This window comes from Homo sapiens, chromosome 7 (genome assembly GCF_000001405.40).
Source record: "Homo sapiens chromosome 7, GRCh38.p14 Primary Assembly".
In the NCBI taxonomy this organism is placed as follows: domain Eukaryota; kingdom Metazoa; phylum Chordata; class Mammalia; order Primates; family Hominidae; genus Homo; species Homo sapiens.
In genome coordinates this window covers 33,324,532-33,342,563 of record NC_000007.14, presented here as the reverse complement: position 1 = coordinate 33,342,563, position 18,032 = coordinate 33,324,532, and the positions used below count along the sequence as shown (strand labels likewise).

Below are 18,032 nucleotides of genomic sequence, written 5' to 3'. Positions count from 1 at the left end.
CATTCAGGGTTACCAATAGGGAAATATACATTATAACACAGTGCTACTACATAAGGAATTTTCCTACAAAGACTAAAAGTTCCTAAAAAACAGAAAGGGAATTCCTCATTCCAAATAGCCTATGTTGAAGAGAACCTAGAAAAACTTATATAAGTTGCCCAAAGGAAAAAAAAGTCATTTCCACAGCAAGAAAATATGTGTACATTTGTCAGCTAACTAAGCAGAAATGTTCCACTTAGACTACACCCTTCAGGTAGAATGAAAAATGGTGTGTGCTGAATGGCCAATATTTAAAACAGTGCCTCTACTATGTGACTCAGCTGGGTGAATGTTTCTTTCATATATAGTCCTACTTTTTTGTGTACCCAATTTACTATAATATAGTAATGTTAATGTGATTTTTATCACAAATTGGATTGGCTGTTTATACTAAAATTAATCTTTTGACACTCATGATATACGTTTTAAAGTATGTTCTGATACCTAAATAATGAAGACACTTCCCAAGCAGAATTATATGATATGAACTCCAAATATTGTAAAATGAGTGAATTCAACCACTTCCCTAAATTGATCATCTGTTGGTGATCAATTTCTACACAGATTTCTACACAGATCAATTTCTACACCAATTTCTGTTGGTGATCATCTGTTTCTACACAGATAAACTGCAGTCAGTGAGATATAATCAATCACATCCTAACAAGTGCTTATAGAAAACTTAAGTGAGGAGATGAAGTAATATAATCAAGAATAGTCCTCCTTTCATCCTTTCTATTTCTCAGTTGTATTAATTCACTTATTCATAGAGCAAATATATATTGAGCACCCATTATTTGGCAAGCACTAAGGATACAGCAGTGAACAAGACAACTCATGGACATAGATGGTTGTGATAATCATAATGATTATGATGATGTTGATTATTATAATGTAGAAAGAAGTAAAATGTAATTTGATGATAATGACAATCATAACAATTATCATAACATTCAACAAAGTAGATTCTATTATTATTCCCATTTTGTGGATGAGAAAATTGAGACTAAGAAAATTAAGTACCTTGCCTTGTGTCACACAGATAGAAACAGGGGAAAAATTAAGTATTGGACCAACTATATACTCTTAAGCTACCCTACCACCACCACCACCATAATGTATTAAAGACTAGAAATCATCAAACTTTGAGCTAGGCCACTCACAAACCTTATCTAACTGAATCTCCAACAAAAATCTGGTAGGGTCAGTATTATTCAGCTACATTAGTATTACGTCAATGCTATGGTACTAAGAAAGTTTGAAAAAAAATTTTTTTAAGTAGGATTAGAACTAGGGCAAGAAGCCCTCCTACTGCTCTCTCTTCCCCTACAACCCCACTTCTTTTTAAAACAGAAATCCTGCCCAAGGAGCTCCTTACTGGCACTAAGGGGCTACTAATGTTTTTATCTAGAAAATAACAAGGCCTACAATTTGTTATCCTCCCTGAAGTGTCTACTTGGAGGACCAAACTTTAAACCAATGCATTTTGGTCCTAATTCATCAGAGTTTACCACTCTTATAAACCCCTTTAAAATCTGCAAGTACACCTACAGAAACTGAATCAAAGTTAGGAGAAACCACGACAGAAACGTTCAAGTCATCTTCTCTCTCAGTCATGGGCCAAACACCTGTGATTTAAAAAAAGAAAAATTATTTAATCATAAAGTAAAACTTTCTATATATAGTTTTTCTTTAAAGGTTTGTCTATACCACATATAAAAAAAACCCCATAAACATACTCACAAGTTGAAAAAACTAATGCATTACAGTATTAGAAGCTTGATGCTAATTCTTTCCCTCTATAATATGGTAAAAAATATTGTCTTTTTCTGCAGATATTTGCTAAGATGTGAGCCATTGACTGACCAGCATTAGGAATCTCAATGCCCTCTCTGTAACTACTAGTGGAAGCCCAAATTAGTACAGCCCTTGTGAAGGTAAGTTGGCTAGAACTAGCAAAATGTAAAATGTACATATCCTGTGACTTAATTCTACTCCCAAGAATGTATCCAATACCCATAACCATGCCCAAGGAGGTCTCTAATGTTAGTAGTTATTTTTTCAGAAATGAAAACAACCTAAATATCTATATATCTATTAATAGGCTAATTATTAAATAAATCATGGTATATCTGTACTATGCAATGTCCCAAAGTCATAAATAAGGGTGCTGTCCATCTTTACATACTGATATTTTAAAAACTCCAAAATATATCTATTAACTTTTAAAAAGCAAGATGTAGTACAATGTGTCTAATATGCACATATTTGTGTCAAAACAATTACATAAACATGAATATTTTCTAGACAAATACACAAAAGCTCTTGATAAGGATTGCCTTTAAGGAGTGAAACTAGGATCTTGGGTTGAACAAAGATTCACCTTTCATTATTTATCCTTTTAGTACTGAATTATTTTTACCATACACATGTTATTTTCATAATTTTAAACATGTTTATGTTGCATAATGAGATATTTATTCATAGTATCAACAAAGATCTTAAACAAAAAACATTTTTAAATTATATATATTCATATATATAATATATATACATATCAAACTATTGGCTACCTACTTAACATCCATTCTTCCCTCCTCCCTCTGTGTATTGGAACCCTAATTTTGTGGAGCTATTCACCTTCATCTCAGAGAAAGTCACCCCTTCCAGGCTCCACGGTCAAATCCAATCATCATGATTTCCTTCCACTGACCATTTGTTGTTTTAGCCATGAACATGGGACTTAATCCTGGCAGATGGAAGGTAAGGGAAGTTGGGAGTGGAGAGAGCTGGCACATGTTTCTGGGAAAGCTATTCCTCCCTAATAAGAGGAGAGACTCAGGAGAAATAGCCTGATGATTCTTCCCTGGAAATCATATCTGCACATAACACCTAGAATTGCTGAGATCACCCTGTGACCCTGAGAGGAAACATTCCCCACACTCTGAGGATGGCTGACTGAAAATATGAATCAGCTATCTCACAAAAAAAGGAACTGCCTACAACTGCTATCAGGCATTCCCACCAAACTGCACGATTTGGAATGGGAATTTCCATAACTTAATGAGAGTACAAATGGCTGTTCATTGCCCATCCCAATAACCATTCTTCAATTCTTCTTTACTTAAAGCCCAACTTTATTCTAAGCAACAAAATACTCAGCTAAGTCATGTAATTCCCCAGCCAGTTTTGCAGCTTGGAGTGGCTGGTGAGATTTAAGTAGGAGCCATTCAGGGTGTGGCTTCCAAGAAAGCTCCTTAAGGGGGCTGACTCAGCAGCAGATGCGAGGGCAGGAGTTCCAAAAGCCATGCAGGACCAATATATGACTCCGAGATAGAAGGAATCAAGAGTCTCTGATGACTGTGGAACTGCCAAGCCAACCCTGGACTGCCCATCACTAGGTTTCTTTTGCAAGAGAAAGAAAGAAACCTCTATCTTATTTGGGTATCTTGTGACATGTAGCCAGACAGAATCCTAAATGAACAATGTCACAAAATACAAATGATTCTACTACTCAGTGTTATCATCAGCTTAGTTATCCTGGACATTTCAAATGGAGTGCAGACTTTCATTTATATCCCCACGTCTTACTGCTCTCTGTCCCTTTCTGAAGACACAGCTGTATGGGCACCTATCTCAATGTTGCACCCAGTCCTTCATACTCATGCCAGGTAGACAACATGATCAACTATCTAAATCATAAATAAAATTCTGTCTTCGAAAGTTCCTACGAGTAGATGTTGTTGACTACTGGTAACAAAAATACTAGGCAGGATTCACATTAATGAGTTGAGTATGAAAAGCTTCAGAATCCATGAGCCATACAGAAATTATTACTATGATTTCATGCTTACAACATACATTCCTCTTATAACTTACACACATAAAATCAGCTTCAAAAACACTTTTATTACGGTAGATAATATACACCATGTGTACAACAAAATGTACTCTTTAAACTGGCTTTAAATTTTGCTGCAACTCTTCCTTTGAAAACACTTTTAAAAGCTTTAAGTACTGAACATAACCCACAAGGCTATGAACATTTTTTGTAAGTTAAAGCCCCCAAACTAAAATAAGTGACATTAAAATGAATAATGGGGTCATCAAAAAGTTCAGCATTTTAACTTCTCATAATAAAGAGAAGCTAAAACTGTAATAAAACAATTTTGTGCTTTTATTAATTACAGGTATTTTAATAAACAAACATACCATGGTTTTATAAGGGTACAAGTTACTAAATTTTTTTCCATATCTAGAAATAAAATGTTTTAAATACCTCTCAGTTTAAAAAGTTTCCCTTTGTTTCTTTCCCAGAAATAAAACTAAATGATGGTGGCATAGAAGGGGCAAGGAACTTCAAACATTAATTAAAAATTGAGGTTATGTAAATCATGCACTTTACACCTAAGTCTGTGGGTGTATCCCTATCTTAATTAGCGGTTATTTTAAGACATACTGAAGGATCAAGGTAATGACAAGTAAAACAGCCTAAACTTTCTCACCCAAGGTCATCACTATAACCACCAAGAAATAACTTTTAGCTGTAAGGGATTTTCTGAGAAATTTCATATTCAATTAATGTTAATCAAAATATTATTGGAACATTACTATGGAAAGGGCAAAATCTCAGGACAAAATTTGAAATGAAAGCCATATTATTTAATGAACTCTGGAAATTTCATGTTTCATGCCTATGCCACCCTTCCCCAATTATATTTTTAAATGACAAAACAAGACTTATAATTCTATTATTCCCAAAAATGCTAGTAACAAAAATTGAAACAAAAAATTATATACTGCGATATGACACATCCCATTTTAACCACTCTCTATTTGACATGGCAGCGCTGACAACAAATAGATTTTTAAGTAATTGGAGGTACTTGAAAGACCTGAACTTCACTGGTTTACTTTCAAAACTTTCTAAAAGAATGTGTGAAACCAAAGCATAATAACTTTATTTTAATATTTGTATTTTAAAAATATATTATCTCAATTCCTCAGGACCAGAGGAATACAATGTTGGTAACATAGACTCAAAAGTACATAAATCTAGTAAAATGATTGGATCAGGATTAAGATTGGCTCTGTTGTTTTGGTTGGCTTTTGATGCTCTGCTTCTTTTATTATTCCTACTTGTTTTAACATTTCTTTTATGTGAAAATAGTCCATATTTTTTCACATTAAAAAAATACTTTTACCTGACCCTGAAAAGGGAACTTGAAGTAATGCTTTTCACATGTCCAACTCAAACTGCAGGATTGGTGTTTTGTTTCTCCTTTTAATTTACAAAAAAAAATTATACCCTTTTGAGTCCCAAAGTAAGATAATATTGAGTTATTCAAAACTCGGGAACTGAAAATATCATCAGCCTCTGAGTCATTAGAAATCAGCATACCGCAAGCTACACACCATTTGGATGGTTAATTAACTACAAACATAAATTATGTCACTAAGCTGCAAATGACTACATTTTTAGTAGCAAAATGGTAGCTCATGTGCTTTGGTTTCTTTTAAAAGAAGAACTAAAGTTGTTTCAGGAGTATAAGAAGTTAATAAATGACCACTCTAAATTTTAATGCTCTTCTCAAGGCCTAAAACCACCACCCAAAGAAGTACTTCTTCCTTTCTTAGCATGTAAAGAAAAAAACTAGATAGTGCTGTCCATGAAACATTAACAACAAAAGCACTTTCTTAAATAAAATACGTTTTCAGAAGCCATAACATACAAAGTAGACATAAAGACCTTGTGTGCTAAAGAGCAATACTGTTTTTACAAATATGATTTTAATTAAGCCTAGAGGAGAAAATTAACAAATACACAAAATAATATCTATCTACAAGATAATATGAATTTCATAATGAATACTAAAATAATAAAAAGCTGCAAATGAGATACCTTGTGATTTGTTAACATCTTTGATGATTTTCTGAAGTTCTTTCATTTCTACATCAAGTTCATCATAGTTTAGTTCTCGAGATTGAACGTTTGGAGCTTGGAACAGAGAAGGATCTGTCCCCAGGTATGAACACTGCAAGTGACCATCATCACTCAGAGTGACTATCACTCCCTTTAAATCACTACAATAAGGAAGAGAAAATGAGACATAATTTTAAATTTCAGTAGAGTTAGTCTTGACCAACTACATTTTTACTCAATTCAGCATCAACACACCATTAAGAAAATAACTATATATCTATTTCTAAAGTTTTACTTCAAAGACTCAATTCAAATGTTTCAAACACGATTTGTATTTACAGAAGTATTCCCAATGTTAAGGTCCACTAAGGCCGGGAAAAAAGCTTAATTATTATAATAGCTACCACTTTTGGGGACCTAACTACAAAGCAAATCCTGCTCTAAGAGCATTTTAAGTACTGTTTTTAATCCTCCTTCCAGCTACTACTTGGCATTTCCGTAATAAGCATGTGAACAACACTTTGGAGGTACAATGGACCAAGAGATGGAGCGGGGCTGCTGGCTGGCTGAAGACCAGGAAGGAGGCACAGGAGTGAAGACAGGACAACCCAGGGGACAGAAAACCAACGAAGTTGATGTGGGAAGCCATCGGAGGTCTTGCGAAAAAAAAAGTGCCCCCGGTCTTTCCTCATCCTTTTCCCTCTCTACCCTTAGGATTCATGTTTGCCCTCTTTCCCAGGTCCTCCCATCACAGCTTCCTTCACACGCTCTCCTATTCAAGTGGCCCTCTGGTTTGTTCTCTCTTTCTCTTCACTTTTAGCTAGAAGCAGCCAATTGTCCCATTTACTAGCTCTTTCTCTATCACTCTTCTCATCCTCATTATCTTTTTTATTCCCCATTCTTTCACTCTTCCTTCTCTCTTAGGCTCCCTGAGGTCTGTTTTACTCTAGAAACTAGCCATAATATATAAATTAAGGATAATTTTAGCACACAATTTTTTTAAAGTTGTTTTTGTGAACATGTCATAAAAAGTAGCTGAGATGAATACTGTATTTGCTTCCTCCCTAAGTTTGCCATAAAAACAAAAAAATTCAACATCGTGATAAGCCATTTTGAGTTGATACATAATGGATTTGTTTGACTCACTTTTGTTTGTTAGGTTTTCTACAGAAACTTTTGATTTTTTTTTAAAGTATTTTCTACTTGGTTCTAAAGGTTAGATATTAATCAAAAATAATAAATTGGGCACAGTAGCACAAGCCTGTACTCCCAGCTACTTGAAGAGGCAAAGAATCACTTAAGCCCAGGAGTTTGAATCCAGCTTGGGCAACATAGCAAGACCTTGTCTCTAAAAGTAAACAAAAATAGAAAAATTGTGAGAGAAAAGAAGATGTTTAAATGTTGCTATTCATCTGAAGAAGAGAAAAGGACATAAAGTATATAACAGATAAGGCATGTAAGAGTCTAGGATTATTTAGAATGAACAAAAATGTTTAAAACTCCCCAACAGTGGATCATGGCAGGTAGTCATTTCATTAATCTAAAAGCTCAACTGGGTTGGGAGTAGATACTACCATTGCTCAGTTCTGCCCATAAGATGGTCACCAGCATCCACTTCACCACCTGCCTTAAACACAACATTCCAATACACATCATCTCCAGGACTCAGGCATAGTCAGTGACATGCAACCCTGTCATATTACTTGAGAGGAATAAAAAATAGATTGTTGTCACTGGTTCAACAGCTAAAGAACTAGACTAGGACGCAGGAGACTTGAGTCTGGCTCTGATGCTGCTCCTGTAGAGCTCAGTCAACTTGGGAAAGCTTTCCTAAATATTCTTTATATGTAAAATGAGAAGGTAAGACTAGATAATCCTCAAAAACTTTAAGTTTTATCAATTGCTTCTGCCATCTACCCCTCAGAAAACAAATAGTCCAAAAATGGAATGATCTTCTTAAAGTATGAAAAGCAACCCCAGAGTACCTTTGGGTTTGAACCTTTCTTTGCAGGTAACTGAAGCCATCTAGTGGCCATGGAAATCCCAACTTTCAGCTCTGACAAGCCCATTTCAAGAGAGCAAATCTTCCCTTCCCTCTGAGTTGTGACTGTAGTCTGTTCCGCATTCTAGCTAGCCCCACTAAGCCCTACGAACCCAATGAGTCCTCAGGCAACTCTAGGGTGCTAAAGCGCAGACCTCTGGGGGGGGCTTCTCAGAGAATGTGAGATTCATCAGTTCTTTGAATTCAAACAGGCATTTCCATTTCATCTTCATCCTTTGAACAGTCCATCATACAGAAAAGCTAGCATTACCCAATACAAGTATTCCTCCTTATCTAAATTGAGTTGGTCTTTGAGTTGAAAGGTTTATTACTAAATCAGTTTTATTCCATCAATTTAGATAGCAAATGGCAACAATTTAGATACAAGCCATTTATCTAAAAAATTATCTGAACCTATTAAGTTTCTGAGTTCAAATAGGAAGAGTTTGGATAATAGAGAATACATATATTTCTTCAGACTCTCTAAAAACACTTTTTACTGGTATTTCACGTGTTCAAGTGGTAAAGAGAGTAGCCAGGGTCTTCCCTCACCAAAAGAACAAATTTCACCAGAATGTCTTGACAGCTAAGGTAATTATAGAACTTAAGCAATTTACTTTTTAAAAAATCAATTGCAAAAGACATTATAGGCTGGGGATGGTGGCTCACGCCTGTAATCTCAGCATTTTGGAAAGCCGAGGCAGGTGGATCGCTTGAGGTCAGAAGTTCAAAACCAGCCTGGCCAATGTGGTGAAATCCCATCTCCACTAAAAATACAAAAATTAGCCAGGTGTGGGTGGCAGGCACCTACAATCCCAGCTACTCAGGAGACTGAGGCAGGAGAATAACTTAAACCCAGGAGACAGAGGTTGCAGTGAGCCGAGACCACTGCACTCCAGCCTGGGCAACACAGCAAGACTCGGTCTCAAAAAAAAAAAGACATTATAGCTTAGTTTGTTTATTTTTATGGCTGAGTAGCATTCCCTGATGATTAGTGATGTCGAGCACTTTTTTATATGTTTGTTGGCTGAAGAAAAAAAAATCTTCTTTTGAGAATTGTCTATTCATGTCATTTGCAAAGATATGAAACCAACCTAAGTGCCCATCAACCAATGAGTGGATAAAGAAAATGTGTATACACACCATGGAACACAACTCAGCCATAAAAAGGAATGAAACAATGTATTTTGCAGCAACTTGGATAGAGCAGGAGGCCATTATTCTAAGTGAAGTAACTTAGACAACCAAATATGGTATGTTCTCACTTATAAGTGAGAGCTAAGCTATGAAGATGCAAAAGCATAAGAATGATGACATGGACTTTGGGGACTGGCAGGAGGGGATGGTTGGGAGAGGGGTGAGGGACAAAAGGCTATATATTGGGTACAGTATATACTTCTCGATGACAGGTGCACCAAAATCACAGAAATCACCACTAAAGAACTTATCCATGTAAGCAAAAACCACGTGTACTCTAAAAACTATTCTTTTTAGATGAGATTCCTAGAGTAGTCAGATTTGTAGAGACCCAAAGTTGAATGGTGGTTTCCAGGGGCTGGGGGAGGGGGTTGAGAGATACAGTCTTGTAAAGATGAAAAAGTTCTGGAGATGGATAGTGGTGATGATTGCACAGCAGTATGAATGTACCTAATGCCACAGAACTGTACATTTTAAAATGCTTAAAATGGTAAATTTTATGTTATGTGTATTTTACCACAATTTAAAAAAACACATAGCACCAAAACAAGGGTGAATGAATAAATTTCAAAAAGCTGTATCAAGAATGATAATATAGTATGTAATTTGTTTAGGGACATTAAAGCCTTCAATCTTGTTTTTCTTTTTTGTTTTTGTTGTTGTTGTTGTTGTTGTTGTTGTTGTTTTGACATGGAGCCTTGCTCTGTTGCCCAGGCTGGAATGCAGTGGCGTGATCTCAGCTCACTGCAACCTCTGCCTCCCGGGTTCAAGCGATTCTCCTGCCTCAGCCTCCTGAGTAGCTGGGATTACAGGCGCCTGCCACCACACCCAGCTAATTTTTATATTTTTAGTACAGACGGGGTTTTGCCATTTTGGCCAGGCTGGTCTCGAACTCCTGACCTCGTGATCCACCTGCCTCAGCCTCCCAAAGTGCTGGGATTACAGGCGTGAGCCCCACACCTGGCCTCTTGTTTTTAATTGTTTTTAATTCAATAGTTTTTGGGGTACAGGTGGCTTTTGGTTATGACTTCAGGTTTTAGATTTAAGTCTTTGATTCATCTTGAGTTGATTTTTGTATAAGGTGGGAGATAAGAATCTAGTTTTATTCTTCTACATGTGGCTTGCCAGTTTTCCCAGCTCCATTTATTGAATAGGGTGTCTTTTACTGAATTTATGTTTTTGTATGCTTTGTCAAAGATCAGTTCGCTCGAAGTCTGGCTTTATTTCTGGGTTCTCTATCCTGTTCCATTGGTCTATGTGCCCGTTTTTATACCACTACCATGCTGTTTGGGTAACTACAGCCTTGTAGTATAATTTGAAGTTGGGTAATGTGATGCCTCTAGATTTGTTCTTTTTGCTTAGTATTGCTTTGGCTATGCGAGCTCTTTTTTGGTTCCATAAGAATTTCAGGATTGTTTTTTCTAGTTCTGCGAAGAATGATGACGGTATTTTGATGGGAATTGCATTGAATCTATAGATTGCTTTGGGCATTATGGTCATTTTCACAATATTGATTCTTCCCATCCTTGAGCTTGGGATTTGTTTCCATTTGTTTGTGTCATCTATGGTTTCTTCCAGCAGTGTTTTGCAGTTTTCCTTATAGAGCTCTTTCACCTCATTGGTTAAGTATATTCCTAAGATTTTTTGTTGGTGGTGGTTTTTTGGGGGGAGTTGTGTGTGTGTGTGGTTTTTTTTTTTTTTTGGCAGTTGTAAAAGGGACTGAGTTCTTCATTTGATTGTCAGTTTTGTTGTTGTTAGTGTATAGCAGTGCTACTGATCTACGTACATTGATTTTGTATCCTGAGACTTTACTGAATTTGATCTAAGAGCTTTTTGGATGAGTCTTTAGGGTTTTCTAGGCATACAATCATACTATCAGCAAATAGTGACAATTTGACTTCCTCTTTTCTAATTTGGATTATTTCTTTCTTTTGTCTGATTGCTCTGGCTAGGACTTCCAGTACTATGTTGAATAAAAGTGGTGGAAGTGGACATCCTTGTCTTATCCCAATTCTCAAGGGAAATGATTTCAACTTTTCCCCATTCAGCATGATGCTGGCTGTGGGTTTGTCATATACGGCTTTTATTACTTTGAGGTAAGCCCCTTCTATGCCTATTTTATTGAGAGTTTTTATCATAAAGCCATGCTGGATTTTATAAAATGCTTTTTCTGTGTCTATTGAAATAATCATATGATTTTCGTTTTTAATTCTGTTTATGTGATATATCACATTTGTTGACTTATATATGTTAAATCATCCCTGCATCCCTGGAATGAAACCCACTTGATCATAATGTACTGTCTTTTTGATGTGCTGTTAGATTCGGTTAGCTAGTATTTTGTTGAGGATTTTTGCATCTAATGAAAATTTTAACAATATTGTTCATGTGGGTTAATAAGTAAGGTTCTATGAATGACAGAATGTTATGCTGAACAGAACCATCAATTAAATCCAATACCGTGTACCCTATTGCTTCTGTCTTAAAAGCATCATTAACATTGACAAAATCAAGGTCTCTGAATTATTATCGGTCTGTGAAGTGCATCGACTGAGCTAAGTCACTAGAATAATGTACTTTATGAAGAATCAGGGTCAAAGATATTACATTCCTAGGACGTTTGGTAATTTTGTAATTTCAGCAATGGGGCATGAAATTAAACAACAGAATTTTGCTCAGGAATCTGTAAATAATGATTCTATCACTCAGTAAACAGATTCCTGCCTTAACAACACATTAAAACAAAATTCCAGATGGATTTTTAAAGTTCAATTTAAAAATATGAAACTACAAAAATATTTATCTCCCTTTGAGATGGTAAGAAAACTTTTGCTATAAGAACGCAACAGAGGAAGCTACAAAGGAAGGGATCTCTAAATTAAACTACATTAAAATTTTAAACTTGTTATAGGCTTAAGAATATGACATAATAAGAACAAAGGACAAACTCAGAAAACATTGGCAACCAATATAAAATACAACATTTTAAGTTAAACCATGTGAAGTTCCTGATATTCAACTGGTTTTGACCTATAAAAACAATTTTATAGACCAGGCGCGGTGGCTTATGCCTGTAATCCTAGCATTTTGGGAGGCTGAGGTGGGCAGATTGCCTGAGCTCAGGAGTTTGAGGTCAGCCTGGGCAACACGGTAAAACCCCATCTCTACTAAAATACAAAAAATTTAGCCGGGTGTGGTGGCATGCATCTGTAGTCCCAGCTACTTGGGAGGCTGAGGCAGGAGAATTACTTGAACTGGAGAGGCGGAGGTTGCAGTGAGCCGAGATCATGCCACTGCACTCCAGCCCAGGCGACAGAGCGAGACTCTGTCTCCAAAAAAAAAACACAATTTTATATGTTAAATCTAATATGTAAAGAACTCTTATAAATCAATGAAAATGATACTATACCCAACAGAAAAAGGTTAAATAAAGGCCATCTACAGACAATTCACACATAAAAATAATACAGTCAATAAATAAATGGAAAAATTTTCAAAATCAAAAAATGTACATTTTAAAACTTTTTAAAAAGGTATATTTGATTAACACCTCAAACTAGCAAAAAGATTGTATTTAATAATGTGTCCAGCTGTTAGAGAAGGTACACGGAGACATACTCTCATATACTTTTGATACCAATGTAAATTTGTTATAATCCTTTTAGAGAACATTTTAGAAAAATATATCAAAAACCATAAAAATACTATTGTCTTTTATGCAGTAATCTACTTTCATGGTTATTTTAAAAATTTAGAAACAACCCAAATGATAGGGGGGGAATATTTTTTAATTGTGGTGTATCTATAATAGAATGTCTAGAAACCATTAAAAATCATATCTTATCAAATATCTGTTATCAGAAAAAATAATAAATGTAAAAGTAAAACATAATACTGCATGTACATTTTATTCTGTTTATAAATATATATGTATAAAACATGAATTAGGAAAAATACCTAAATGTTAATAGGATGTGACTATCCCTAACTAGTGAAATGATGAATTATTTTCATTTTGTCTTATAGTTACAAAATAAGATTAGGGCCAGGCACGGTGGCTCACACCTGTAATCCCAGCACTTTGGGAGGCCAAGGTGGGTGGATCACCTGAGGCCAGGAGTTCGAGACCAGTCTGCCCAACATGGTGAAACCCCATCTCTACTAAAAATACAAAAATTTGCTGGGAGTGGTGATGTGCACCTGTAATCCCAGATAGGCAGGAGGCTGAGGCAGGACAATCACTTGAATCCGGGAGGCGGAGGTTGCAGTGAGCTGAGATCGCGCCACTGCACTCCAGCCTGGGACACAAGAGCGAAACTCCGTTTCTAAATAAACAAATAAATAAATAAATAAATAAATAAATAAATAAAAGAAGGAAAACCTTATCCTTTTTTAAGAAAAAAAAAGTTCTATTTTCCATTCCCAGTGACCAAATTTCAATCAGTGACTTAAAAATTAAATATTTGTGGGATTAAAAACATTTAACTAGTTTTATTTTTCCAACAAAGCCAATCTATAAAATGTGTAACATGAAATTATTTGAAATATAGCTCAATAGATAGAAAATAAATGGTTTCTTTCATTTCCTAATACACTAAAACAAAAGAATACTAGTTTTAAAAACAAATAAAAAGAACATGCATTGGACCTAATGTTCTCTTGTTTGGCTTCATTTTATGCAAAATAGGAACATTGTAGGTTATCACATTGTCAAAGTCTGGTTTTTACTACTATATATAGATACCAAGGAAATCTTAAAACCCTAAATAGTATTTATTGCACCCCAAATTTTATTCTACCTCAGTAAGGAGCATATGATTGAAAGGCATTTCCCTTCAAGTGCAGTCAGCCACACTCAGTTCACACAGCTCTTCCTCAGTCCAAAAGTACTGGACGTGGGCACTTGAACATATTTTAATCAATCCACCATTAATCATTTCAGACATTTTTATTGAGCATCTGCTATACAACAGAAGCTATAAAGGCAAAGAAGACATGAGGCTTGCTGTATAAAAATCTTTGGTCTAATTGGGAGGACTTCAAACTTACTTTAAATAAAAGCAATTGCAATCCAATGTAGTAGATAGAGCACAGTAAGAAGAGAGTGCAATGGGCCTGCATGAGAGAGCAGAGCAAGGCTTCACAGGGCAGAGGATGCAGAAGGTGGATCTTGACCTACAAGTAGATCCCCACAGATGAAAAACAATGGACAAAATAAAGGCAAAGGATTCCAGCCTTGGTGACCTCATTCAGTCTTAATGACTTTAAATACTTTCTTCACGCCAGCTCCCACCTCTATATCTCCAGCCAGACATGTACATCCAGCCCCCTACTTGACAGCTACACTTAGAAGGCCAATAGACATCTAAAGCTCAACATGGCTACCCATGAGTTCCTGATTTTGGCCCCACCTCTCCAACTCAAAGCTACCCTCCTGCATCTTTCATATTTCTGCTATTGGTAACTCCATTCTTTAAGCTGCTCATCCAGAAAGAACCTTAGAGCCATCCTTGACTCCCCCTCCCTTTTCTTTTTCTTGCAACCACATAAATTCCATCAGCAAATATTGCCAGCCTTACTTTTTAAATATGTCCAGAATCCAACCACTTCTCACCAAGTACACTACTGCATGCATGAAACAAATATTTGTTTTTTAGTGTTTCTTCTTTAGAGACAGACTCTCACTCTGTCACTCAGGCTGGAGTGCAGTGGTATGATAATGGCTCACTGTAACTCAAACTCCAGGGCTCAAGTGACCTGCCTCAGCTTCCGAAGTAGCTGGGACTATAGATGCATGCCAACATACCAAGCTAATTTTTTTGTTGTTGTTAGATATAGGGTCTTGCTATGTTGCAGGTCTGGTCATGAATTCCTGGCCTCAGGTGATCCTCCTGCTTCAACCTCCCAAAGCACTGGGAATATAGGTGTGAACCACCACACCAAGCCTAACAAACACCCTTTAATCTGCCCTTGATAACTGCTATTAACCAGCCTCTCCACTTCTATACATGTGCCTCTATAGTAACTTTCCAACAAAGCAGTAAAAATATTCATGTTACCTTATAATCCTCCGGTGGCTCCTCTGGCACTCATAACAAAAGCTCAAATCCTTACAAGAGTCTTCAAGGCCCTACATAATATGTTCCTCCACCTCATTTTCATTTTCTATTCTGCCAGAATAAAAAATGAAATTGTCCATCCAAGTGGTAGGAAACTGAGTTCCAGGAAACCTTGCCACTGCAGGTAAAGTGTTCTGTGGTCCCAAATAAATTTGAAAGTCTAGGCCACAAGAACCACAATTCCTGGGCAAGTCCTAGTGCTTCACTGGGCTCAGTGCCAGTGGACATGGAGGGCAAAAGACTTAATAAGACACCAGATTGGGCAGCCAAGGGAGTGCTTGCACCACCTTTCCCCGAACGCCCAGCAAAGTAGTGCACAGCTCTGGAAAAGACCCCTTCCTTCTGCTTGAAGAGAGGAGAGAGGAGAGTAAAGAGTACTTTGTCTTGTAACTTGGATGCCAGCTCATCCACAGTAGAATAAGGCACTGAGCAGAGACCTCGGGTACCCATTCCAAGCCCTAGCTCCTAGATGACATTTCTAAACATACCCTGGGCCAGAAGGGAACCCACTGCCTTTAAGTGAAAGATCCACTCAAGGCAAGTTTCATTACCTACTGATTAAAGAGCCCTTGGGCCCTGAATAGTCAACAGTGGTAGCCAGGCAGTACTCGTCATTGGCCTTGAGTGGAATTCAGAGAAGTGCTGGCTTCCGGTCAGCACATTCCCAACTGCAAAGGCCATGGGGGAGACTCATTTTGCTTCAGAAAAGGAGAGAGAAGAGTAAAGGGGACTTTGTCTTACAGCTTAGGTACCAGCTGGGCTGCAGTGGAGTAGAGCACCAAGCAAGCTCTTCAGGTCCCCAATTCTAATCCTTGGCTCTCGGACAGCAAGCATTTTAGGACCTGCCCTGAGAGGGGAACCCACTGCTCAAGCCTGGCAGCATTCATCACAAGCTGACTGAAGAGCCTGGGGCTTGAGTGAACATCAGCGGTAGCCAGATAGTACTCACTGCAAGCCTAGAGGTGGTAGTAATAGGGAGAGATTCAAGGGAGAAGAGGGGAGGGGGAGGGGAGGGGAGGGAAAAGAGTAGGAAGGACATTGTCTTGTGGCTTGAGTACCAGCTCACTGTACTAAAACAGAGCACCAGGTAGATTCCTAAGTTTCTGATTCCAGACCCTGGCTCCCAGAGAGCATCTCTGGACCCGCCTGGGGCCACAGGAAATTCATGGCCCAAAAGGGAAGGACACAAGCCTGGCTAGCTTTACCACTTGATGATTGTAGAGCCCTAGGGACTTGACCACACGTAAGTGGTAGCCAGGCAGTGGTTATGAGAGGCCTTGGATGAGACCCAGTACATTCTGGATTCAGCTCTTACCCAGCATACTCCCATTGGTGGTGGCCATGGGAGTCCTTGTGTCACTACTCCCCCAGCTCCAGGAAACACAGCAGAGAGAGAGAGAGACTCTTTTTGTTGGGGAAAAGGTAAGGGAAGAAAGCAAGAGTCTCTCCCTAGTAATCCAGAGAATTATTCTGGATCTCAACCAAGTCCACCAAGGTGATACCACTGTAAGAGCCACAGTGTTACTGGGCTTCAGGTGCCCCCTAATGCAGATATGGCTGCAGTGACCCAAAATCTAGATTGTAACACCCAAGTCCCCCTGAATACCTGGAAAGCCTTCAGAAAAAAGGACAGGTACAAACAAACCCAGATTGCAAAGGCTACAATAAATACCTAACCCTTCAATGCCCAGACACTGATGAATATCCACAAGCACCCAGGCTATCCAGGAAAACATGACCTTACCAAACAAACTAAATAAGGCACAAGGATCTAATCCCAGAGAGACAGAGATATGTGACCTTTCAGAGAAATCAAAATAGCTGTTTTGAGGAAACACAAAGAAATTCAAGATAACACAGAGAAGACATTGAGAATCCTATCAGATAAATTTAACAAAGACATTGAAATAATTTAAAAGAATCAAGCAGAAATTCTGGAATTGAAAAATGCAACTGACATAATGAAGAATGCATCAGAGTGCCTCACCAACAGAACTAATCAAGTAGAAGAATTAGTAAGCTTGAAGACAGGCTATTTGAAAATATACAGTCAGAGGAGACAAAAGAAAAAATAATTTAAAAACAATAAAGCATACCTACAAGATCTAGAAAATAGCCTCAAAAAGGTAAATCTAAAAGGCATTAGCCTTAAAGAGCAGGTAGAGACAAAGATAGAGGTAGAAAGTTTATTCAAAGAGATAATAACAGAACTTCACAAACCTAGAGAAAGATATCAATATTCAAGTACAAGGAGGTTACAGAACAGCAAGCCAATTTGACACAAATAAGACTACTGCAAGATCATTAATAATCAAACTCCAAAAGGCAAGGATAAAGAAAGGATCCTAAAAGCAGGAAGAGAAAAGAAACAAATGCCCTACAATGGAGCTCCAGTATGTCTGGCAGAAAACTTCTCAATGGGAACTTTACAAGCCAGGAGAGAGTAGCATGATATATTTAAAGCACTGAAAGAAAAAAAAGACTTTTTCCTAGAATAGTATATCCAGCAAAAGTATCCATCAAACGTGAAGGAGAAATAAAGATTATCCCAGACAAACAAAAGCTGATAGATTTCATCAACACTAGACCTGCCCTACAAGAAATGCTAAAGGGAGTTCTTCAATCTGGAAAAAAAAAAAAAAAATGGATGTTAACTAGCAATAAGAAATCATCTGAAGGTACAAAACTTACTGTAATAGCAAGGACACAGAAA

The 18,032-nt window shown here is 37.2% G+C and overlaps 1 protein-coding gene across 19 annotated transcripts in view; it reads right to left on the bottom strand.

Annotated features, from left to right (window-relative positions):
- Positions 1–18,032, bottom strand: part of BBS9 (Bardet-Biedl syndrome 9) — a 506,483-nt gene that overhangs the window by 293,204 nt on the left and 195,247 nt on the right. For all 19 annotated transcript variants that reach the window (NR_145412.1, NR_145411.1, NR_145413.3 and 16 more), the window contains 2 exons: positions 5,942–6,123; positions 1,591–1,667 (listed from right to left, as the gene is read on the bottom strand). Coding sequence is in view for 16 of the 19 variants with exons in the window: in NM_001348036.1 (NP_001334965.1) it covers positions 1,591–1,667; positions 5,942–6,123 (259 nt within the window). In the remaining 3 variants the exon portion in view is untranslated. The remainder of the gene's footprint in view (positions 1–1,590; positions 1,668–5,941; positions 6,124–18,032) is intronic.